This window comes from Homo sapiens, chromosome 16, assembly GCF_000001405.40.
Source record: "Homo sapiens chromosome 16, GRCh38.p14 Primary Assembly".
Classification (NCBI taxonomy): domain Eukaryota; kingdom Metazoa; phylum Chordata; class Mammalia; order Primates; family Hominidae; genus Homo; species Homo sapiens.
Window position 1 is genome coordinate 21,929,304 of NC_000016.10, and position 23,892 is coordinate 21,953,195.

General features: G+C 42.9%; 1 pseudogene, besides 4 other annotated features; it reads left to right on the top strand.

Moving 5' to 3' along the window:
• Window positions 5,299-5,800: an enhancer, noted in NCBI's record as "H3K4me1 hESC enhancer chr16:21945923-21946424 (GRCh37/hg19 assembly coordinates)". NCBI's record gives its function as "activates a minimal SCP1, AML or CMV promoter by ChIP-STARR-seq in naive H9 embryonic stem cells {active_cell/tissue: H9 hESC(naive)}" and the evidence as "EXISTENCE:reporter gene assay evidence [ECO:0000049][PMID:30033119]".
• Window positions 5,801-6,300: an enhancer, noted in NCBI's record as "H3K4me1 hESC enhancer chr16:21946425-21946924 (GRCh37/hg19 assembly coordinates)". NCBI's record gives its function as "activates a minimal SCP1, AML or CMV promoter by ChIP-STARR-seq in naive H9 embryonic stem cells {active_cell/tissue: H9 hESC(naive)}" and the evidence as "EXISTENCE:reporter gene assay evidence [ECO:0000049][PMID:30033119]".
• Window positions 5,805-6,099: a silencer, noted in NCBI's record as "tiled region #9028; HepG2 Repressive DNase unmatched - State 5:Enh". NCBI's record gives its function as "represses a minimal TATA promoter and a strong SV40 promoter by Sharpr-MPRA in HepG2 cells {active_cell/tissue: HepG2}" and the evidence as "EXISTENCE:reporter gene assay evidence [ECO:0000049][PMID:27701403]".
• Window positions 9,562-11,163, top strand: ABCA3P1 (ABCA3 pseudogene 1; annotated as a pseudogene).
• Window positions 23,391-23,850: an enhancer, noted in NCBI's record as "active region_10562". NCBI's record gives its function as "activates an Ori minimal core promoter by ATAC-STARR-seq in GM12878 lymphoblastoid cells {active_cell/tissue: GM12878}" and the evidence as "EXISTENCE:reporter gene assay evidence [ECO:0000049][PMID:35858748]".

Sequence of the window (23,892 nt, forward strand, 5' to 3'; positions counted from 1 at the left end):
CTAATACCCCGAGTGGAGAAGTAAAATCTACTTGTTTTCTGTTGACTTGAACGCCTTCTCTTCTTTGTTGAATTAATCAATCTATTTGACTCCAATGTCAAATTAATCAATGTCACTTTAGAATATTAAAATGTACAATTATGAATTACACATTTAATTTTAAAACACATCATTCTGATCTCTGTCTTGATTGATACTAGAAGATTATCTTCCAAACTAAGGTGGAAAAAATGACAGACTTTAGCTATTGGCAATGATAGGTCATTTTTTTAGGGAAGAGGAGTAAAGAGGGCCACCTCCATAGGTCAGATATCCCTTTGTTCTAAGAAGCCACCACCCCTGTTTCTTCATATGAAAAAAACCAGAGGCATCCAGTGGTTCCCAAAACCTTCTCAACTTTACGCTTGAGGAACCCACAGATTTCAAATAATACAACTGACCTAAGACACTCATTTGTTTAACCATTCTTTTTTTAACTTTTTATTTTTTTTGAGAAGGAGTCTTGCTCTGCTGCCCAGGCTGGAGTGCAGTGGTGTGATGTCGCTCACTACAACCTCTGCCTCTCAGGTTCAAGTGATTCTCCTGCCTCAGCCTCCCGAGTAACTGGGATTACAGGCATGCACCACCACATCCCGCTAATTTATTTATTTATTTTTTTTTAGTAGAGACAGGGGTTTCACCATGTCGGTTGGCCAGGCTGGTCTCGAACTCCTGACCTCAGGTGATCCACCCACCTCAGCCTCCCAAAGTGCTGGGATTACAGGCGTGAGCCACTGCCCCCGGCCTGCTTAACCATTCTTAAATGTCGGGTGCAGTGGCTCACACCTGTAATCTCAACACTTTGGGAGGCTGAAGGTGGGCAGATTGCTTGCGTTCAGGGGTTCAAGACCAGCCTGGGCAACGTGGTGAAAACCCCATCTCTACAAAAAATACAAAAATGAGCCGGGCTGTTGGCAAGCGCCTGTAGCCCCAGCTACTTGTGGATGCTGAGGCAGGAGGCTTGAGCCTGGGAGGTCGAGACTGCAGTAAGCCAAGTATCTGTGCCGCTGCACTCCAGCCTGGGTGACACAGCAAGACCGTCTCAAAAAAATTGACAGAAGAGTTGACTGAGAGCACAGTGAATGAAAAGGAAGACTATAAGCCAGTGCCATATAAATGCTTACTGTTGGAGGTATGCTTCTATGGAACACGGGTTTGCTCTCTTGCCATATGACATTCACATATTCAGCCACCTGGAACACTTCCTGTCAGTATGTGTGAAGTATCATGTGTGGTCAAAATTGTCTCAACAGTCATTTTCCACACCAACTGGCAAACTAACACTAAAAGAAATCAACAAGTATTGCTTTTTCAAAAGCCTAAATCGGCTGAGTGCGATGACTTACACCTGTAATCCCAGCACTTTGGGAGGCCAAAGCAGGCGGATCACCTGAGTCAGGAGTCCAAGAACAGGCCGGCCAACATGGTGGAATCTCGTCTCTACTAAAAATACAAAAATTAGCTGGACGCCTGTAATCCCAGCTACTCAGGAGGCTGAGGCAGGAGAATTTTTCCCTGTAACCGGGAGGCAGGGGCTGCAGTGAGTCGAGATTACACCACTGCACTCCAGCCTGGGAGACAGAGCAAGACTCCATCTCAGGAAGACAAAAAAAAAAAAAAGCCTACATCAAGGAAAACAGAACCAAAACACCAGGGACAAAATGGTACATAAGAGGCAAAAAAATTTTCACCAAAATTATTCAGATGAACAATAATAAATGTGCCTGCATCTGAAGATGTTCTAAACCTTCATTTAAGCAAGAAGCAAGATCAAGATCTGTTCCGTCAGTTACCTGGAGTCTGTCATCTTTCTGAATAGGGGACAGAATCACCTCAAATTTAACTAATAAAAATTTATGACTTGGCAAACACCCCAGGTATTTTTATTGACTAACAAATCAGCTATGACAATCTTAGCAACAAATCAAGTTATGCTATGGGGTATGTCCACACTTCCCTGTTCCCTCTACAACAGGAGAAAATCAAATTTTTCCAACATCCTAACAAACTGTTACTGCCTGTAACCAAATGTATCACAGTATCGTCTACCAAGGCGTTACATCCTGAAACTTTCCTACAAAAAGCACAGCTTCAAAGAAACCTTGCAAGCTTTCTTGTAAGCTCCTCCCTTCCCCCATCGCCCCTCCCCAGAGCCAAGAAATAAAGCACTTGAAAGAAACAACATGGATAATATTTATTAATAGCTCATGTACATATTCCATAACTACATAAGCCATTTGGCTTCATACCTGTCAGCAATGAAGTCAGCTGGCCCTAGCACGTGGCTGCGACTCTTCTCTATTTATTTAGAACTACAAACTACAATTTACACTTTTCCAAAAGCTGTAGGACTATTTGGGAAGGGCACTTTATTCTTCTAAAAGGTTACTAAATTCTCTTATATACTTATACTGATCACAATACTGAAAAATAATAGAAAATCCATTGTCATTCATTTACCACCTAATTTGTTAAGATGCCAGAAAACCAAATTTTACACATTTCAATAAAAAGGCAAAACTAAGCATGTCAATCATAGGAAAAAAATACTTAATCAACTAATTTTATTTAAAGCACTCACAAACTCTTAAGTGGTACAAGACAAGTCAACGCTGTTTATCGAACAATATTTTTTTTTACGACTAAACATCTCAATTCTAGACTCAGGCACTAATTATTAAAGTCATCTAGTTATATACACCAATTCTCAACAGACACAGTTTTTTTTGGAAAGGCATATTAAACAGACTAAGATGTGTACTACCCATTAGCCAAAGATAATTTTATTGATTTTTCTAACGAGTCTTCAAATGTTACATTCTAACATCTTAGCAAATTATTTCCAAATACTGCTGGAATTACATGTAACTATCAGGAAACAAAAGGGCTTCTCTTTTTTTTTTTTTCTTTTTTTTTTTTTTTGAGACGGAGTCTCGCTCTGTCGCCCAGGCCGGACTGCGGACTGCAGTGGCGCAATCTCGGCTCACTGCAAGCTCCGCCTCCCCGGTTCAGGCCATTCTGCCTCAGCCTCCTGAGTAGCTGGGACTACAGGCGTCCGCCACCACACCCGGCTAATTTTTTGTATTTTTAGTAGAGATGGGGTTTCACCGTGTTAGCCAGGATGGTCTTGATCTCCTGACCTCATGATCTGCCCACCTCAGCCTCCCAAAGTGCTGGGATTACAGGCGTGAGCCACTGCGCCCAGCCAGGTTTTTTTTAATGTAATTATTTAAGCTGTAGTTTTCACTTCTTGGTTTTGGGTAATAGATCTTGTGAGAAAAGATCCAAACCAATTTTGACTTCTGCTGAAGTATTTAACTTGACTTTGAAATGTGATCTTTGTTGACAGGTCAAAGAAATTCATTGATCCTATTTATCAGGTATGGGAAGGCATGAGTGCTGAAGAGCTACAGGAGTTCAAGAAACCCATGAAAAAGGTCAGTTTGTGATTGATTGAGCACACTCTCGGAATCTCCTTTCTGGTTCCAGGTCACAGTCAGATAGTAAGTGGCAAGTTGCTCGTGCGTGTAATCCCCACACTTTAGGGGGTCAAGGCCAGAGGATTGCTGGAGACCAGCCTGGGCAACACAGTGACACCCTGTTTCTACAAAAATTTTTTAAATTAGCTGGGCGTGGTGGTGCACACCTGTAATCCCAGCTCCTCTGGAAGCTGAGGTGGGAGGTCAAGGCTGCAGTGAGCTGTAAATGCAGCATGGCATTTCATCCTGGGCAACAGAGCAAGACCCTGTTTTCTTTAAAAAAGCACACCGAAACCGTGTCTTACTCATTCTGCCTTTATAAAATTCCAGGCCCAGGTTTTGTTGTTATTTAAAGAGTCTATGGCTTTTTTGGATAAATTGCTTAAACCAGACACTTCACATACTGACATGTGAGAAGCGAAGGTTAATTACAAATTAGCTGAACAAATTTAGATCTTTGCCACTTGCGCATTCTCACCAAGTAACAATCTCCAGTTGACTCATGTTGAAATTGCCCCAGCAGTTTACATTAGTTTTATAGATCTTCATGAATGGGTGGTGAAGACGCAGGTTGCAACATACCCTCCAGGTCACATGAAGTGGAGCTGAGACAGTTACAGTTAGAGAGGAAAGTTAGAATCCAGTAATAAAGAATTTCGCTGCTCTGTTGCTTGGGAGCACATTTGTTTTCTCATTAAAAGCAGCTTCAAGATGGCTTTTTTGTTGTTGTTGTTTTTCATAAGTAATCATTAATAAGTAATCATTGGAAAGCCCCACCACACCCAACCAATTAGCTTCGTGTGGTGGCAGGCATCTGTAATCTCAGTTACTCAGGAGACTGAGGCAAGAGAATTGCTTGAACCTGGGAGGCGGAGTTTGCAGTGAGTTGAGATTGCACCGCTGTATTCCAACCTGGGCGACAGCGCCAGACCCTGTCTCAAAAGAAAAAAATAATAATATAAAGTGACCAGGTGTGTTGACTCACGCCTGTAATCCCACCACTTTGGGTGGAAGCAGGAGGATCACTGGAGCCCAGGAGTTTGAAACCAGCCTAGGCAACATAGTGAGACCCTGTCTCTATATTAAACACACACACACACACAAAGGCAGCCAGACTATGCACTAGGAACTGCCCTGGGAATCCCTTTGTGTTCTCACAACAATCCCATTTCACAGATGAAGAAACCAAGGCACAGAAATATTAAGTAACGTGTCCAGGTGCGGTGGCTCACACCTGTAATCCCAGTACTTTGGGAGGCTGAGGCAGGCAGATCACAAGGTCAGGAGTTCGAGACCATCCTGGCCAATATGGTGAAACCCTGTCTCTACTAAAAATACAAAAGTCCTAGGGGTAGTCAGCCCCTCTCACCCCACCCTCATCCTCTCACACAAGAGTCATTTACTGTCCCTCCAGTTATGCCCAGTCACGCAGACACTCTGCTGCTCAAATGCCCTCACCCCATCCTCAGCCTGCTCCCAGGCCACCTCCCTCCAGAATCCACCTTGCCTGCCAGGTGGCCATAGGGACCCTCGCCATACTGTCTGCTTGTGGCAGTGCCCTCCAGCCTGGGGGGTCTTCCAGAGCAGATCTCTGGCCAAGCGCAGTGGCTCATGCCTGTAATCTCAGCACCTTCAGAGGCCAAGGCAGGTGGATCACCTGAGGTCAGGAGTTCGAGACCAGCCTTGCTAACATGGTGAAACCCCGTCTCTACTAAAAATACAAAAATTAGCCAGGTGTGGTAGTGGTGCATGCCTGTAGTCCCAGCTACTCAGGAGGCTGAGGCAGGAGAATCTCTTGGACCCGGGAGGTGGAGGTTGCAGTGAGCTGAAATGGTGCCACTGCACTCCAGCCTGGGCAACAGTGAGACTCTGTCTTTAAAAAAAAAAAAAAAAAAGAGAGCGGAGTTCTGATATAAGCTGCCCTGGCACATAGTGAGCCTCCAGAAATGGTCCCTTGACCTCTAAATGCACCAAGACCCAGGGAACACGCCCTCTCTGAGCACCCTGACAATGTCCCAGTCCCAACACGGTACCCTGAAGCTGTCCCCAAAGTTTCCCCTGCCACACTCCCTGACCACTCTCTGGTATCTCAGAGCCCTAGCAACAGCCCTATAGAGGGAGGGTTCTAGGCATGGGGCAGGCATGAGCACTGTGCTTATAACCAAGCAAAACACTCCCTCTGTGCCAACATAGGTGGGGCAGGTCACGCTGGGGTCTGTTTGCCCTGTCTGCCCGCTGCAGCCTCCTCGGGGAGGGCCAGGGTTGTCTGTGCATCCTGTGAGCCCCAGGGTCTATGTGCACATATGTGTGTCTGTGCCTTTCTCTCTCTCTCTGTGTGTGTGTGTGTGTGTGTGTGTGTGTGTGTGTGTGTACACGGCGCATCTGAATTGTCCTGAGTGCCGTCTCGGGTATCCTTGAGCTGTGTGTGCATGTGTCCCCCTAGCGGTAAGTCTCCTCGGAATAAGGGAAGAAAAGGTGCTCTTTTGATGTTATTATTCCCCCAGCCCCTCCCCCGCTCACCTAATCCCATGTGTACAGTGTCATGGAACCTTACCATGTTGTGTGTGTAATCCCCTGTGTGCAGTGTCATGGAACCTTACCATGTTGTGTGTGTAATCCCGTGTGCGGTGTCATGGAACCTTACCATGTGTTGTGTGTTATCCCCTGGGTGCAGTGTCATGGAACCTTACCATGTGGTGTGTGTAATCCCCTGTGTGTGGCATCATGGAACCTTACCATGTTGTGTGTGTAATCCCCTGTGTGCAGTGTCATGGAACTTTACCATGTTGTGTGTGTAAGTCTGCTCTGTTAGCAACTCCGCAGGATTCATTCACAGGTGCCCCCTCCACAGTTGACTCTTCTCTTTCAGAGGGTTCCTGGCATAGTCTGTCTGATTTTTCCTTTATACACAACCCTATAGGGAAGATCCTTGCATATATGTCTTGGCAAATAGATAAGTTCCTGGAAGTAGAATTGCTACATGTGTTTAAAAGTTTGTTAAGACGGTAACAGGTTTTCTAGAAATGTTTTACTAATTCTTCCACGGACAGTGCTTGAGAACAAGTTTTTTCTACACCTTTGCTAAGGCTGGTAATTTTTAAAAATGGTGTTAAAGGCACATGTCTACTTTGAAATCATAACTGTTTGTTTGTTTAAAGGAGACCCTTGAGAAATGAAACCCTAAATTTCAGGAACTTCATCTCTTCATCTGTGAAAACACTTTGTCCACACTTATTGTTTTAAAAAGATTTTTTTTTTTTGGCCATAAAGTAGTATATGTTCTATTGTTCTGTTAAGTTTGAAGTGACCAGCCCACCACAGTTAGGTCACTGAGTGTTTTGGTTGCCTGGTTATTCTTTCAGGAATGTTTGAATCGAAATGCTCACAATTTATTTCCCCAGAAGAGAGAATTTTCAGAAATCTCCTAAGAAAGTCTGATGTCCGTTCATATGATCTGTTTGCTTTGTTAGTAGAGAAAACTACCTTTGGAGACTAGTTGTAGCATGGAAGGGGAAGGCAGTAGAAATAGTTTTGGGGTGAGGCGAGCAGTCCCAGGGGAACACGAAGGCAGCGTTTCAGGAGTGCTGCTGGTTAGTTTTCCACGCCATCACTGCACATTATTTTACAAATCCCTGTTTCTAGTTCAGAAGGCAAATGACAGTTTCTTTAGAAAATGTAACACTGTAATCTTGTAAAATGAAAGTGTTCCAGTTACATCATTTTCGGTTATTTCAGAACCATTAAAGTTCTGACAGCCTACTTCCCCAATCTCTTTGTAGACTGTGGCCCAAAGAAGGCTTAGAGAAATAATTTTGAATCTTGATTTTGTTCCAACTCTGTTCCTTAAATGCCTAAGAACTGTGATTTTTTGAGTATTTGTTAAAAGCCTACTGTGTCAGCCAGGCATGGTGGCTCATGCCTGTAATCCCAGCACCTTGGGAGGCTGAGGCGGGCGGATCACGATGTCAGGGGATCGAGACCATCCTGGCAAACACGGTGAAGTCTCTACTATAAATACAAAAAAATACAAAAAATTAGCTGGGCGTGGTGGTGGATGCCTGTAGTCCCAGCTGCTCAGGAGGCTGAGGCAGGAGAATGGTGTGAACCCGGGAGGCGGAGCTTGCAGTGAGCTGAGATCGTGCCACTGCACTCCAGCCTGGGCGACAGAGCAAGACTCGGTCTCAAAAAAAAAAGCAAAACCTACTGTGCACAGAGCTCCGAGGCCTGCCCCAGTACAAAGCCTGCAGTCTCTGACCCAGGAGAAAGTGTGCACAGCTGCAGGTACCTTGATGTGTCAAACACCATTGCCTCTGGCTGCCGAAGCTTCTGATATCTGCTGATAGTCTTCAGAGACTTTTTTAAAACGTGATACATGGCTTCTGTCTTCCTGATTTCAAGATTCTCTCTCTGTCTTTGGCTTTTGCTGAATTGATAATAACATGTCTTGGTGTGGGTCTCTTTGAGTTCATTTTCCTTAGAGTTCATTGGGCTCTTGGATGTTTATATTCATGAAATTGGGAAAGTTTTCAATCATTATTTCTTCAAATTATCTCTCTGCCCTTGTCTTTCTTCTCCTTCTTAAATACCACAATGTATATATTAGTCCACTTGATGGTGTTCCAAAAGTCCCTTAGGCTCTGTTTACATTTCTTTGATCTTTCCTTTTTTTTTTTCCTTTTTTCAATCTTTTTACTTCCTGTTCCTCAGACTCAATAATTGCCATTGTCCTATATTCAAGTTAAGTAATTTTTTCTTCTGCCTATTCAAACATGACTTTCAATCCTACTAGTTAATATTTTATTTCAGTTATTGTACTTTTCCACTCTAGAATTTTTTTGTTTCCTTTTAAAGTTTTCTACCTCCTTATTGATATTGCTGTTTTGTTTGTACATCATTTTCTTGACTTCCTCCACATCTTCCTCTAGTTTTTAAAGCATCATTAAGACAGTATTTTAAAGTATTTTTCTAGTATATCTGCCATCATGTCTTTTTCAGTACAGTTTCCATTCATTTTTTTTTCCTTTGATCCTTTGATGGGCCATAATTTCCTGTTTCTTTGTATGCTTCTGAGTTTTATTAAAAACTGGACATTTGACTCTAATAAAGTGGTAATTCTGGAAATTATATTTTCGTCATTCTCTTAGGTTTGCTGTTGTTTGTTACTTTTTATTTATTGTTTTTGTTTTTTGGATTGTTGTAGGCTGTCTCGGTGCTTAGGATCAGCCTGGGGTGTGAAACTAAGTTCTTCTCAGGCATTTTCTGAGCCTGTGTCTTTCCCTGAGCATGTGTGGTTACTTTATATTTTTCTTTATATATACAGTTGTGTTTTAATGCCCTAATACTTAATATATGAATCCCAAAAGAGGAAAATGAGAAAAATGAAGGATGGTGTGTAAAGGGAGCTAGTCCTTTAAAGCCCCTGTCACTTCAAATAGAGGGGCAGGAGCTTGTGCCATGCCAGGAGTTTAGGGGGCATTAATAGTTTGGAAACACTGTAAATTAATTAGTAATTTAATTTAATTTAAATTGACAGCCTTTTCTCTGTCTGTTAGGCTATGTGCACCTCAATGTAAATCAACAGAAGGGTTTGACTAATTGGTGAAGCAACATTTATTGCAGTCTCTGGTTTGGGGATGAATGCAGAAAGGCTTTGCTTCTGGTTCAGCCTTACCCTGGAACAAGATATACATATGGCTCTACAGGTTAAACAAAGCCAAAACATCATGGTTTCCATGCTCCTTAGAGTTCCTGATTAATGAGAAGAGCATCTCATATTCCAATACTCCTCCAAATTGTGTGGCTCTAGAATTTTATTTCTAACTTCTTTATCCCCAAGATCATTAAAACTGAATTACAGAAGCTATTATCCCAGTGTCCTACAATAGGTCTGACAGCTGTAATTCTGTAGCCCTTTAGGAAAAAAACAGTCTTGGTAGGACTCTTAGAAGCATGGCTTGGAGGACTGCAGGTTTGCCATCTCATCCATGGATGTAGAGTGGGATGGATGACTTGGCTCTTTACTCAAGGCAATTTTTGTTATTAGGTGAGGTCAAGAATTGGCTACTGTCCTCAATTTGATGCCTTGCTGGAATATATGACTGCTCAGGAAATAATGATTATGTATGCCAGAATATGGGGAGTCTCTGAGCCCCAGATTGGGCTGTATGTGAACAAATGTTTGAATTCACTGGAACTGGAGTCTCATGCTGCCAGGCTTATCAACACCTACAGGTAAGTCACTATGCTACTGCTCTTTTCTGTTGATGCTGCTAATATTGAGGTTCTTGCTGTTTGAAATGAAGCTTACAGCTCCACCTAAGCTCCTCTTCCCACAATTACCTACTTGTGAAACTATCTAATGTTCTGCTAGGCTTCAGATGCCAGTAACAAGGCAAATCAATACAGTTCCACATCTTCCCTTTTCAGAGATGAAACGCAAAGTCTTGGTTCTATTTGAACTATATCCTCTGAACCTCAAAAAAAGGAGTGTCTTCTCTTCCTAGTGTCCCTATAGTTCTTTGTCTACCAAGTAAGGAGGAATGTAGGCCCTTTGAATTATGATGTGATTTATGTGTCTTGGAAACCATAACACTCTAAGAACATGCCACTGATAATGCTGCCAAAATTAATTACATAAAAGTCACTCCTCGATATCTCAAATTAAAATGAATTGATATAGACGCCTGTAATTGGGCCTGCTACCTAATCAAAGTCACATATAATCAGCATTGGGACATCCATGTTAAGTGTTTGCTGGGACTCTCAGCATTTGGGAAATTTGTACTAACTCTTTCCTATACATAGCTGATATGTATAGCCATTTTTTCTCTCACTTTTTCTCTCCTTCTTTGGCCATGAAGTGAAGGAAACAAACGTAGGCTGAGTACTGCTATTGCCCTAATGGGAAGGTCTTCAGTCATCTTCCTGGATGAGCCATCAACTGGCATGGACCCAGTAGCCAGACGCCTGCTCTGGAACATGGTGACAAAGACACGTGAAAGTGGAAAAGCCATCGTTATGACCTCCCACAGGTATGGCTCATTGGGAGGCTTGGTTGAAGGCTAGCAAGAGTTTTAGTGGCTATAAGAAGGAATTATTTAGGCCCAGTGGATAATATTGGACACTAAACTTGCCTGAGTATGTTAGCTCCTCATCAGGAATTAGGATTCATGTTAATCCTAATAAATCAAATGGCCAAAAATCCTCACTGAGTTTAAAAAAAAAGTGAGGAAAAGACAGGACTTCAGAAGATGTTCTATTTGAAAATTGAGCGCTGTGTTCTTTTTCGTTTGAAAAATTCCCACTTCCCATCTATGTGCTTTATGATTGGAAAAATACAAATTCTGATTGAAAATAGGGTCACAAAATTCTGGCTCTGATTGAACTACACAATGTCTTCCAAAAGAGAACTTTTTATTTTTACCCTTACAACATTCTGCCCTTTTGTTTTCCAAGTATGGAGGAATGTGACGCCCTCTGTACCAGTCTAGCCATCATGGTGCAAGGGAAGTTCACTTGCTTGGGCAGCCCTCAGCATCTCAAGAGCAAGTTTGGCAACATTTACATCCTGAAGGTCAAGGTCAAGACTGAAGATAAATTAGAGGATTTTAAATGTTATGTTGCAACAACATTTCCAGGTAAATTAAGTTGTGCTACCTTTGTCAGAAATGTATTAAATTGGCCGGGCGCACTGGTTCACGCCTGTAATCCCAGCACTTTTGGGAGGCTGAGGTGGGCAGGTCATTTGAGCTCAGGAGTTTGAGAAATGTGTTAAATCATATTTGTTGTTCTCACCATCCATATGATTTATGTCTTCAATACCAGTTTTCTGTGAGTTATTGATAGGTATTGATTTTCTATAATGTTCCTTTGGCAATGTTTGATATTATAGTCTCTTATGCCAGATTATGCTAAGTTTCACAAAAAGCAGAAGTCCTCACAAACTCTTACATCACCTAACAAGGCACTTTTATGTTTGTGCTGTCCATATAAATTAGTTGGGCGCAGTAGCTCATGCCTGTAATTCCAGCAACTTGGAAGGCTGAGGCCAGAGAATTGCTTGAGCCCCAGGGTTTAAGGCTGCAATGAGCTATGATTGTGCCATTGCACTCCAGCCTGGCAAGACCCCATCTCTAAAAAAATTAATGATAATAAATAAAAACTAAAAATAAATTATATATCTAAAGTCCTATTTTAGCATAATTCTCAATTATTTTTACAGATTATTCATGCCAAATTTTAAGGTTTTTTCCTTCACACTGCTCATGCAACTTTATGCTTTTGCTGTCTCAGCTAGGATATGGTATTGAAATGCAAATAAGAACTGGTATTTCTCTCCTTTCAAGAGTAGTTTGGTTTCTGAGTGCCGTTTCTTCATGCTAAATTCAGTAAGCACCTCTCCGCCTACATGGAACAGTACAAGAGAGAGCATGCATTTCGATCTCTTATCTCTCTTTCCTTAACCTAAAGCATGGGCAATGGCAAGGCTTTTAATAATTCTGGTTTTTCATCTTAGTTTCCACTTTGTTAGGCTGAGCAAAATACCGCAGAAGTTCCCGTTGTGTGTTAGGCTAAGGGGTTGAAAATTTGTCTCCTAGGCAATGGAAAATAGCAAAATTGATTACACAGTAAGAATGAAAATCAGGGCCGGGCACAGTGGCTCATGCTTGTAATCCCAGCACTTTGGGAGGCTGAGGTGGGCGGATCACCTGAGGTCAGGAGTTTGAGACCAGCCTGGCCAACATGATGAATCCCCATATCCATTAAAAATACAAAAATTAGCTGTACATGGTAGCACACACCTGTGGTCTCAGTTACTCAGGAGGCTGAGGCAGGAGAATTGCTTGAACCGGGGAGGCGGAGGTTCCAGTGAACAGAGGTCATGCCATTGCACTTTAGCCTGGGTGACAGAGAGAGACTCTGTCTCAAAAAAGCAAAAAGAGAAGAAAATCAGAAAATAGATACGAAATGGATGGTCAAGCATATGTGGAGAACGAGCTGTGTAGAAAAATTATCACCTCGGTGTTGGTCATAGTGTTTATGGTGTGCCCTTGACACATGTAGATGGATATGTCCATTAAGAAGTTGAATATTCATTTATGCATTCATGTGGCAAATATTTTTGAGGACTTATTGTGTCAAGAGTTCTATTTGATGTGATCAATAAATCACTTTAGGAAAGCTCTATAGGCTGGGCACAGTGGCTCACGTCTGTAATCCCAGCACTTTGGGAGGCCAAGGCAGGTGGATCACGAGGTCGGGAGTTTGAGACCAGCCTGGCCAATATTGTGAAACCCCATCTCTACCAAAAATACAAAAATTAGCCGGGCATGGTGGTGGGTGCCTGTAATCCCAGCTACTTGGGAGACTGAGGCAGGAGAATCGCTTGAACCCAGAAGGTGGATGTTGCGGTGAGCCGAGATCGTGCCACTGGACTCCAGCCTGGGCAACAGAGTGAGACTCCATCTTAAAAACAAAAACGAAAACAAAAAGCTCTGCACACTTCAAGATAACACAGAAAAACAATTCAACAAAATCGGGTAAACAATAAATGACCCAGACTAGTAACTTAATAGAGAAATTGAAATTACTTTTTAAAAAATCAAACAGAAATCATGGATATGTAATATACAGTGAATAAAATGAATAATGCAGTAGAAAGCATTAACAGCAGAGTTTATCAAGCAGAGAAAAATATCTCAACTCAAAATAGGTTTTTTGAAAATATACAGTTAGATGATTAAAAGAAAAATTAAGAGGAATGAAGAAAGCTCATGGGATTTATAGAACAGCATCAAAAGAGCCAGTGTTTACATTATTAGAGTTTGTGAGGAAGAAGAAAAAACAAATTGTTGGAAAGCTTAAAGAAATAAAAGCAGAAGATTTTCCAAATACTAAGAAAAACATAAATATCCAGGTACAAGAGGGTCACATATCTGCATTCGGATTCAATACAAACAAGGCTACATCAAGACATTATAATTAAATGGTCAAAAATCAAGCACAAAGAGAGGATCTGAAAGCAGCAAGAGAAAAAAAAAGCAAATAACATATAAGGGAGATTCCATAAGGCTAGCTATAGGTGTCTCAACCAGGACCTCATAGGCAAGGAGAGAGTAGGATGACATGTTCAAAGTACTGAAGAGAAAAAAACCCTGCCAACCAAGATACTGTATCCAATACTATGTTGAATAGGAGTGGTAAGAGAGGACATTCTTGTGCCAGTTGTTCTTGTGCCAGTTTTCAAGGGGAATGCTTCCAGCTTTTGCCCATTCAGTATGATATTGGCGGTGGGTTTGTCATATGTCATGTCATGGCTCTTATTAGTTTGAGGTATGTCCTTTGAATATCTAGTGTATTGAGAACTTTTAACATGAAGGGATGTTGAATTTTATCGAAGGCCTTTTCTGCATCTATTGAGCTAATCATGTGGTTTTTGTCTTCAGTTCTGTTTACGTGGTGAATCACATTTATTAATTTGCATATGTTGAACCAACCTTGCATCCTAGGGATGAAGCCAACTTGATCATGGTGGACAAGCTTTTTGATGTGTGGGTGGATTCAGTTTGCCAGTATTTTATTGAGAATTTTTGCATTGATGTTCATCAAGGATATTGGCCTGAAGTTTTCTTTTTTTGTTGTATCTCTGCCAGGTTTTGGTATCAGGATGATGCTGGCCTCATAGAATGAGTTAGGGAGGAGTCCCTCCTTTGGTCACCAGCCTACATGTACCTGTAGGAGGTAGCTAGAGACCCCTATTGGGAGGTCTCACTCAGTCAGGAGGAAAGGGATCAGGGACCCACCCAAAGCAGCAGTCTGGCTGCTTATTGGTAGAGCAGGTGTGCTGTGTTGTGTGGGACCTTTCCTTGTTCGGACTGCCTGTATTCTTCAAAGCTGACAGACTGAAGCAGCTGAGTTGACCAAACCACAGAGATGGCAGCTGCGCCTCCTCCAGGAACTTGGACCCATCTCAGGGAGACTCTAACTCACTGCCATTTGTTGGCTGGGATTCCAAACCAGTAGGTCTTAACTCGTGATGTGACGTGGAAGTGGGGCCTGCAGAATGACACTGCTTGGCTCCCTGGATTCAGCTTCCTTCCTAGGGATATGTACAGATGGACCTCTCACCTTGCCAGGGATCCCAAGGCTAGAGTATATAAAACTCCTGGGTCTCTGTGTGTGCCTGAGTGGATGCTCTGTCAAGACTTCACACAGCTCTGTGTATCAGACCCAAGGCCCTGGTGGTGTGGGCTCATGGGGGGATCTCTTGATCTGTGGATTGCAAAGATCCATGGGAAAAGCGTGGTTTCCTGGGCAAGGTCTCACCATCACTCACTGCTTCTCTTGTCTAGGGGTGGTGGTTCCTTTGGCTCCGTGTAGCTCCTTGGTGGGCCATCTCCACTCCCTGCTCTTCTTTGTTCTCCATGGGTCGAGTTTTTAGCCTAGTTGGTCCCAATGCGAGAACCTGGATATGTCAGTCAAAGGTACTAAATTCACTCACCCCTCTCCGTTCCTCTCCATGAGTGCTGTGAACCGCAGCTACTTCTAATAGGCCATCATGGATCAGGTCCCTCTGCAAACATTAGACTTTTAGAAGGCTCAGTTTTCTTACATTGGGCATGTCAGCTGATAATTTATTGTACCTCAAATCCTGCCCTCAATAATTGCTATGAACTCCACATAATAAGATGATTTCATGAGGAATAAATCTGAAAGCATGAACCGTGTCATGGATACCAAAAAGAGTGGGTTAGCGGGTTATATCTCCTTTCGTATTGACCTCCTCTATTCACCCCTCCACAGTATATAATTAAGTAAATTCCATTATTACTCCATATCCATCAAGAGAATGGGAACAGAGAATGGCTTCCTCTCACTTTCTCAATTCTCTGTTCTTCCACCTTCTCACCTCTCCCTTCTGTGCCTTTTGTCCTCCAACATACACTTGATAGGAATTGGGGGAGTGGAGGAGAGGCTTATCTGAGTTGGGGGCTGAAGGGGAGATTGCAATGGTAACTGTGTTTTTGTTGCTGTTGTTAAAGGTGTTTGGCATTTTGGAGGAAGCTAAAGAGCAATTCGATTTAGAAGACTATTCTGTCAGTCAGATCACACTGGAACAGGTCTTCCTGACCTTTGCTAACCCAGAGAAAGCATCCAGTGATGATGAAAACGAGGTGCCATGAGATTCAGTTACAACCAGTGACCCTTGTGTCTCTCATAGATGACACCTGGATGCATGGGGGACCTTCCTGTGCATGTATATCTTGGTGTACATATATTTATGTAATAAAGCTTTTCCCAAAGAAGAAAGTTTGTCCCCTTCATTGCAGATTTAGATGAGCGGCCTGTGTATCCAGCATGCTCAAATCCAAAGACATTTGGTGAAATTCCCATTTTCTCTCCTTGAGATATGAAAGAGCAGCATTTATCAGGGTTGGGACAGGAACCTGTTCCTGAGTGTTCTGGACATTTGAACAGAAAGATCCAGTAATGATGGAGCTGTCAGATGGGACAGCCCAAAGAACAAGAGCTTTATGTTTCAGCAGTTGAGTTATGGATAAGAAGCGCATAAGGCCTGGATCACATCAGCTTTCCTATGGATACACACACACACACATTCACACTCACACACGCGTGCAGATATACATGCATATACACATATATCTAATATAAATTCATCAATGTTGGAGGGCTGAGTTGGGTTACTATTTCAGACATCCAAAATAAAGTTCATATGCTTCAGTTGAAAGAGAATTTTTGCACCAAGAACATTTGGGATCCATGACCAGAAAAAAAAGGATTATTTAAAAATAGTGTGTTTTCTTTTCTACAATTATCTCACCTCTAATAAAGAAGAAGGAGAAATAAAGTGGAGAGAGAGGGACACAGAGATATTTTCTTCTGATTCTTGCCTAGGTAGATAGATGGAGTCCCCCATAAATAATATGAGAAATCTAATCACCTTTTCAGGATTCATAGACAACTAGGATGGTTCTTGCAGAATTGCAAGATGAAGAGAGTCTATAAAGGTGCTCTATTTTGGGGTGGCTTGTTCAATGTTTTCAAATCCTTAATTGGATATTGTTTATTATAAAGTGACACCCACCAGATGCTTACTGTTCTTTTTTTTGTTGTTGTTAGATAAAGAGGGAATTTGAGTTTGTTTCTATGAAGTGTCTAGGAGCATACGAAGTCTCCAATTAAAACAAAATTGAGCCGGGCGCGGTGGCTCATGCTTGTAATCCCAGCACTTTGGGAGGTTGAGGCGGGTGGATCACCTGAGTTCGGGAGTTCGAGACCAGCCTGACCAACATGGAGAAACCCCGTCTCTGCTAAAAATACAGAATTAGCCAGGCGTAGTGGCACATGCCTGTAATCCCAGCTACTAGGGAGGCTGAGGCAGGAGAATTGCTTGAACCTGGGAGGCAGAGGTTGTGGTGAGCTGAGATCGTGCCATTGCACTCCAGCCTGGGCAACAAGAGTGAAACTCTGTCTCAAAAATAATAATAATAATAATAATAGAATATAGCTCTTTCTCTGGTTCATAGGCTATGCTCACCTGAGTGTAAATCAACAGAGGTGTTTGACTAATTGCTAAAACAATACTCATTGCAGTCTCCAGGTTGGCAGGGTGGGGAAAGGCTTTGGTTCTGGTTCAGCCTTTATATGGACAAGATGTTGTACAGGTTTAACAGTGCAAATACCTCCATGGCGGCCATTCCCCCTGGAGTTCTTGATTAATGAGAAGACCATGTCATAATCTAGTACTCCTCCAAAATGAGTAGGCTGTGGAATTTCATTTCTAACTTCTTTATCCCCAAGATCATTAAAACTGAATTATGGAGCCTACTATTCCAATGTCCTACAATAGATCTGACAGCTATAATTTTGTAGCCCTTTAGAAAAAAAATATCTTGGTAGGACTCTTAAAAGTATGGCCTGGAAGACTGCAGGTTTGCCATCTTATCCATGGTTGTCTAGTGGGATAGATGACTTGGGTCTTTACTTAATGCAATTCTTGTAATTAGGTTAAGGTCAAGAATTGGTTATTGTCCTGAATTTGATGTCTTGCTAGAATATATGACTGCTCAGGAAATAATGATCATGTATGCCAGATTATGGGGAGTCCCTAAGCCCCAGATTCAACTGTATGTGAAGAAATGGTTGAATTCACTTGAACTGGAGCCTCATGCTGATGAGCTTATCAACACCTACAGGTGAGTCATTATGCTGCTGCACTTTTTGTTGATGCTGCTAATGTTGAGGTGCTTTCTTTTGTCCCTGCTGTTTGAAATGAAGCCCATAGCTCCACCTATGCTCCTTTTCCCACAATTACCTAATTACGAAACTGTCTAATGTTCTACTAGGTTTCAGATACGAGTAGTAAGGCAGATCAATGTAGCTTCACGTCGTCCTTTTGCAGAAATGGAACAATAAATCTTAGGTTTTTTTGAACTGTAGCTTCTGAACCTCAAAAGGGATCAATTAAGAGGGAGTTTAGGATTGCTAAAGCAGCTAGAATTTGAAGAGCAGGGTGATGATAAAGACGAAGCGGGGGCCCAGAAATTTGAATGGGGTTTGCTGTGAGTCATGAGCTGGCCTGTGCCATGTGCAAAGGGAGAGATGCTGTGAGGCCTATCAGAGAATGGCACCTGCTAGACTGAGAACTGAATGTGTTACCGGTGGACGATATCTGAGTTACTGGCGGTGAATCTGTGTACATCTGCAGCTACCTCAATTCTTGCCTCCTCAGAAGAAAGAAATCAACAGAGGGGCATAAGGCAGAAAAAGAGACCAAGGCAAGTTTCAGAGCAGGAGTGGAAGTTTATTTAAAAGGCTTTAGAACAGGATAAAAAAGGAAAGGAAAGTATGCTTGGAAGAGACCCAACCAGGCACTGAGGTCAAGCGCTCTGTTTAACAGTAATCTTTATAGGCTGGCCCCTTTCTCATGATTCTTCCCTTAGGGTGGGCTGCCCGCATGCCTGGTACCCCCCTCACCCGTTGGAGGTGAGCATGCGCAGCGTGTTTAAGAAGTTGTACCCATGCCCATCTGAGACTTTCTTCCCTATTCTGGTGGAGTAACCCTGGAAAGTCATACTCCGCCATTTTGTCTCTTAATGCACATGCCCAGGAAGTTGCTTCTCCCTGGTGTCTGCATTCAATTAACACTGTTAATTTAGTGCAACGGGTGTGGACTATCAGGAAATGGCCTCTCCAATTTATCTTTTTTTTTTTTTTTTTGAGGCAGAATTTCGCTCTTGTTGCCCAGGCTGGAGTGCAGTGGCGCGATCTCGGCTCACCCAAACCTCCGCCTCCTGGGTTCAAGTGATTCTCCTGCCTTAGCCTCCCGAGTAGCTGGGATTACAGGCACCCGCCACCATCCCTGGCTAATTTTGTATCTTTAGTAGAGATGGGGTTTCTCCATGTTGTTCAGGCTGGTCTCAAACTCCCGACCTCAGGTGATCCGCCCGCCTTGGCCTCCCAAAGTGTTGGGATTGCAGGTCTGAGCCACCGCGCCTGGCCCAATTTATCACTTAGAGAGGCAATGTGATAACTGCCAAATCATCACCCGACATTCCTGGTGGATGGGGGGAGAGCCCTCTCCTGTCCCGCTCATACCTGTCTAACTACCTGTAACAAAGGTAGACCCAGAGTTTACATAGTGCAGAAAATGTCGGAATTCTTACTGAGAGCCACAGTAGAGATACCTTACTGAGCACCCCTTACAGTTATAACTCCAGAAAAGCCATGCCTTAGAAGTAAAGATCATGTCCTAGAATAAGATCAAAAACCTAAATAGACCCACCCTAATAAAGAATAAAATAAAAGCCTGACAGAATCAAAGGGAGCACGCAAAATATACGAAAGCTGGGAAAAGACGTTTACTTCTGTGAACCAAAAGTATCTGAGACAGGTCTCAATCAATGTGGAAAGTTTCCATTGCCAAGGTTAAGGATAAGCGCCTGAGAGGTATGTCTATGCCTTTCTCCAAAGATGATTTCAAGGGCTTCAATATTTAAGGAGAAAGGATTGATATGGGTGAAAAGGAAGAAAATTTGAAATCTTAATTCCAGCTCTTTGGGAGGCCAGTCCAGTGGACTGCCTGAGGTCAGGAGTTTGAGACCAGCCTGAGCAACATGGCAAAACCCCATCTCTATCAAAAATACAAAAATTAGCCAGATGTGGTGGCATATGCCTGTGGTCCCAGCTACTCAGGAGACTGAAGTGGGAGGACTACTTGAGCCCAGGAAGTACTGGAAGCACTCAAGCGTGAGTGACAGATCAAGACCGTCTCAAAAAAAAAAAAAAAAAAAGAAAAAATTTAAAAATGTGTGGGTATACAAGAGACAAAGGGTTGCATCCCCTTGAGTCTTTGATCAGCCTTTCACTGAATATACAATTTACATGTGAGAGGATGGGCAGAGGAATACTCACTTATGTCATTGTCTGGCTCAGAGAATCTTCATTTTTTTTACATAATACAATGTAAACAATAGGGCAGAGGAAGCCATCAGATACACATTTGTTTAAGATGGACTTTGAGTTCTGTCCTTTGTCCTGCACCTGTGAAAATAAGCTATCAGGCCTGGTGCGGTGGCTCACACCTGTAATCCCAGCACTTTGGGAGGCCGAGGTGGGTGCATCACCTGAGGTCAGGAGTTCGAGACCAGCCTGGCCAACATAGTGAAACCCTGTCTCTACTAAAAATGCAAAATTAGCCAGGCATCATGGCACATGCCTGTAATCTCAGCTACTCAGGAGGCTGAGGTGGGAAAATCTGCTTGAAACCAGGAGGTGGAGGTTGTAGTGAGCTCAGATCATGCCATTCCACTCCAGCCTGGGCAACAAGAGTGAAACTCTCCAAAAAAAAAAAAAAAAAAAAAAAAAAGAGGGAGGAGGGAGGGAGGAAGGGAGGGAGAGAGAGAAACAGAGAAAGAGAGACAGAGAGAGAGAGAGAAAGGAAAGGAAGAAAAGGAAAGGAAGGAAGGAAGACAGCTATCAATTTACATTGCCAGGGTGAAATTCAACAAAACTGTTTTAGGGTAAAGATCCTCAGATCCACATGGAATTGCCCTGTGGGCAAATTGTAAGGTAAGTTATGTAGCTTTTTATCCTTATAGCTATCTTATTTAGGAATAAAACGGGAGGCAGGTTTGTCTGACATCATTCCCAGCTTGAATTTTCCCTTTGGCTTAGTGATTTGGAGGCCCTGAGATTTTTTTTCCTTTCACACTTCCTAACTCATTTTATCTATGACAGAAAAATGCATGAATGGGGGGAATGAAAGTGAAAGTTAAAGCCAGTATCACTCTGGAACATAAATGCACAAATCCTAAACAAATAAGTAGCAAATTAGGTCTAGCAATATATTAAAAGAATAAAACATCCAGACCAAGTTGGGTTTATAACAGGAATGAAAGGTTTATTTATAATTTGAATCAATCAATATAACTTAACACAGAATAAGACCAATCTGTTCACCTCAATACATGGAAAAAGTATATGTGACCAAAAACAATAATTATAGAATATTAGAAATTGATATGAACTTTTTTTTCCCCCCCGAGACAGAGTCTCGCTGTGTCGCCTAGGCTGGAGTACAATGGCAGTGATCTCGGCTCACTGCAACTTCCGCCTCCCAGGTTCAAGCAATTCTCCCTGCCTCAGCCTCCCGAGTATCTAAGATTTCAGTCAACTGCCACCATGCCCGGCTAATTTTTGTATTTTTTTTTCAGTAGAGACAGGGTTTTGCCACGTTGGCCAGGCTGGTCTTGAACTCCTGACCTCAGGTGATCCACCCACCTTGGCCTCCCATAGTGCTGGGATTACAGGCATGAGCCACTGTGCCTGGCCCAGGGAATATTTCATCAGAGATAATACCTGACAGGGTAGGATTCTGAAAGGAATGGGGAAGGAAATGCCAACATCGAAATTATGCATTGGGGAAGCCATGATTAATGCCTCTGGCCCTAAGATGGCAAGGTAATGTTGTTCCCAAGTATAAACCCACATCACCTTCCTCTGGTGTGTTTTACTCCTACTGTTGCCTGCTTTCTCTTTACATTCTCCCACCCCATACTCACCGCGAGCGCTCAGGCTAGGTAGTTAGGCTCCATAGAGTCAAATTGGACCCCACATTAACGAAACTAACAATTCGAGCTTTCCAGCAATGAACTCATCTGCTCTTCCATGTCTACTCTTTTCCTGTCTGCTGGTTTCCTCTCCCAGGGCTTTCAGTGTGTTCTACGCAGAAACCAGTTCAAGGACTGGGTTTTCTTCTGCAATAAAATGCTGGAGTTGTGGCAGAGACCTCCACAGTGAGAACAGCCACGGAGTTGGCTAGGAGGTGACATGATGTGGAAGTGGTGGATGTGTCCACAAGATGGCACTCCTAATTTGTAGCTTAATGCTTAATAGGACATTTTGCAATTGACAAACTTGGGATTTTATGATTTATGTAGCTGATATCATGAATTATGTTTCAAATCCTGCCACATTTTGAACAGAATTTATTTTTGCCCCTTTCTGATATTGGGTCATAACCTAAGAATGAGAGGACATTATAAGCAGGTGTGGGTGTGTGTGTGTGTGTGTGTGTGTGTGCACTTGAGTGTGGAGACTTTTGTGTTCCTCCTACCTGACCTGAACTGTTGAATGATGAAGTTACAATGATTGGACTCAGGGGTGCAGCTAGCTAACTTGGGAATTGGGGTTTTGAAGTACTGGAGACAGCTTTGTATGCCATGTTAATGAATTTGAATTTTATCCTGAAAAACGTGGCTGTCGTTGAAGAATTTTAAGCAGGCAGGTGGCTTGATCAGAGCACTGCTTCCCAGATTTCACTCAATGGTACCTGTATAACACATTCATGATTTTTGCTGTATCTCCGTATCATCAAGTTACTTAACGTTTTTACACCAACTTTTATTATTTTATAAATGTACTTAAAGAGGAAATTCACTACTAGCATTGCTTGCCATAATCAAAATAAATATATTATTAAAATGGAACAGTGCTAAATAAGGTGTACACATGGACATAGAGTGTGGAATGACAGACAATGGAGACTCCGAAAGGTGGAGGGGTGGGAGAGAGGTGAACGATGAGAAAGTACTTAATGGGTACCATGTACATTATTCGGGTGATGGGTACACTAAAAGCCCAGACTTCACCATTACTGCAATATATCCATATAACATAACTGTACTTGCGCCCCTTAAATTTATACAAATTTTTAAAAGGAAAAAATGGAAGTGTTCATCTATGTACCAACTTAAAATCATCTCACGCACCACTAGTGTTAAATCTACCACATGTGGGGAAACTGTGTGGTATGAATTGGGTTGAGGGCGTCCCCAGCAGGCACAGAAATTGGGTTGGTGCCAGGTTCTTAATGCCCAGATCTTAATTAGAGAGCCCAAGTCCGTTGTAGGCCTGGAGCAATTCAGACACAAGGCAAAAAGAAAGTACATTTGCCTATGCCTTGTAACGTCTACACCACCAGCCTTTCTGAAACTATTGTGCATACGAAGTCATCCCAGGATCTTGTAAAAACACCGATTCGGATCCAATATGGGACCTGGAGTTCATACATTTCTAATCAACTCCTAAATGATATTGATGCTGATACTGTCGGTTTCCCAACCAAGCAACGTAGCAAGGTACGAAACTCTAAAGTCCCTAAAGGGCAGGGACCACGCCTCTCGCGTTGGCATAGTGCCTAGCTCAAGGCACTTTCTGGGTTAACACTCGCTGAGGACCGGAGTGAACGCCCCCGCCCCAAGTCGTCACGTGACTGACTTTCTCCAACTGCCGGTTTCGGCTCACATAACACACCTACTATCCAAAACATTTCTATTTTCCTAACACAAAAACTATAGCTAAGTTTTTATATTCTATGTAGCCCCAGCCTAGGACGTAAATTCCACGAGACCAAAAGCCTTGTGATGATTCCCCGAGGTTGCTGACCCTCCCGGTGTGTCCCGGGCCTGCTCTGGGGGACACAGCGGCGAATACGTTGAACGAGGCCCCTGTTTCACGGAGCTAAAGATCCAGTAAGGACTTCACCCAGCGAGAGGCAACTACGCCGGGCTTCGATACCCAATACCTCTGCAGAAAGGTGGAGTGGCAGGAATCTCCTGAAGCCTCCAACGTCCAGGAACGCGGAAACCCAGGGCCTCCAGTGCAGGTGTCATCCCGGAGGGCGCATGCGGAGTCCCAAGAGAGGCGCGTCCCATTGGACAATGCTGAGCGGAAGAGCCCAAGATAGCGGGGGGAGTTGTGACAGGCTGCTGCAGACGTACTTAGAAAAGGGGTGCATACTGGATATTCAGGCTAGGAGAAGAACGCAAAAAGCAGTGACGTACATTATTCT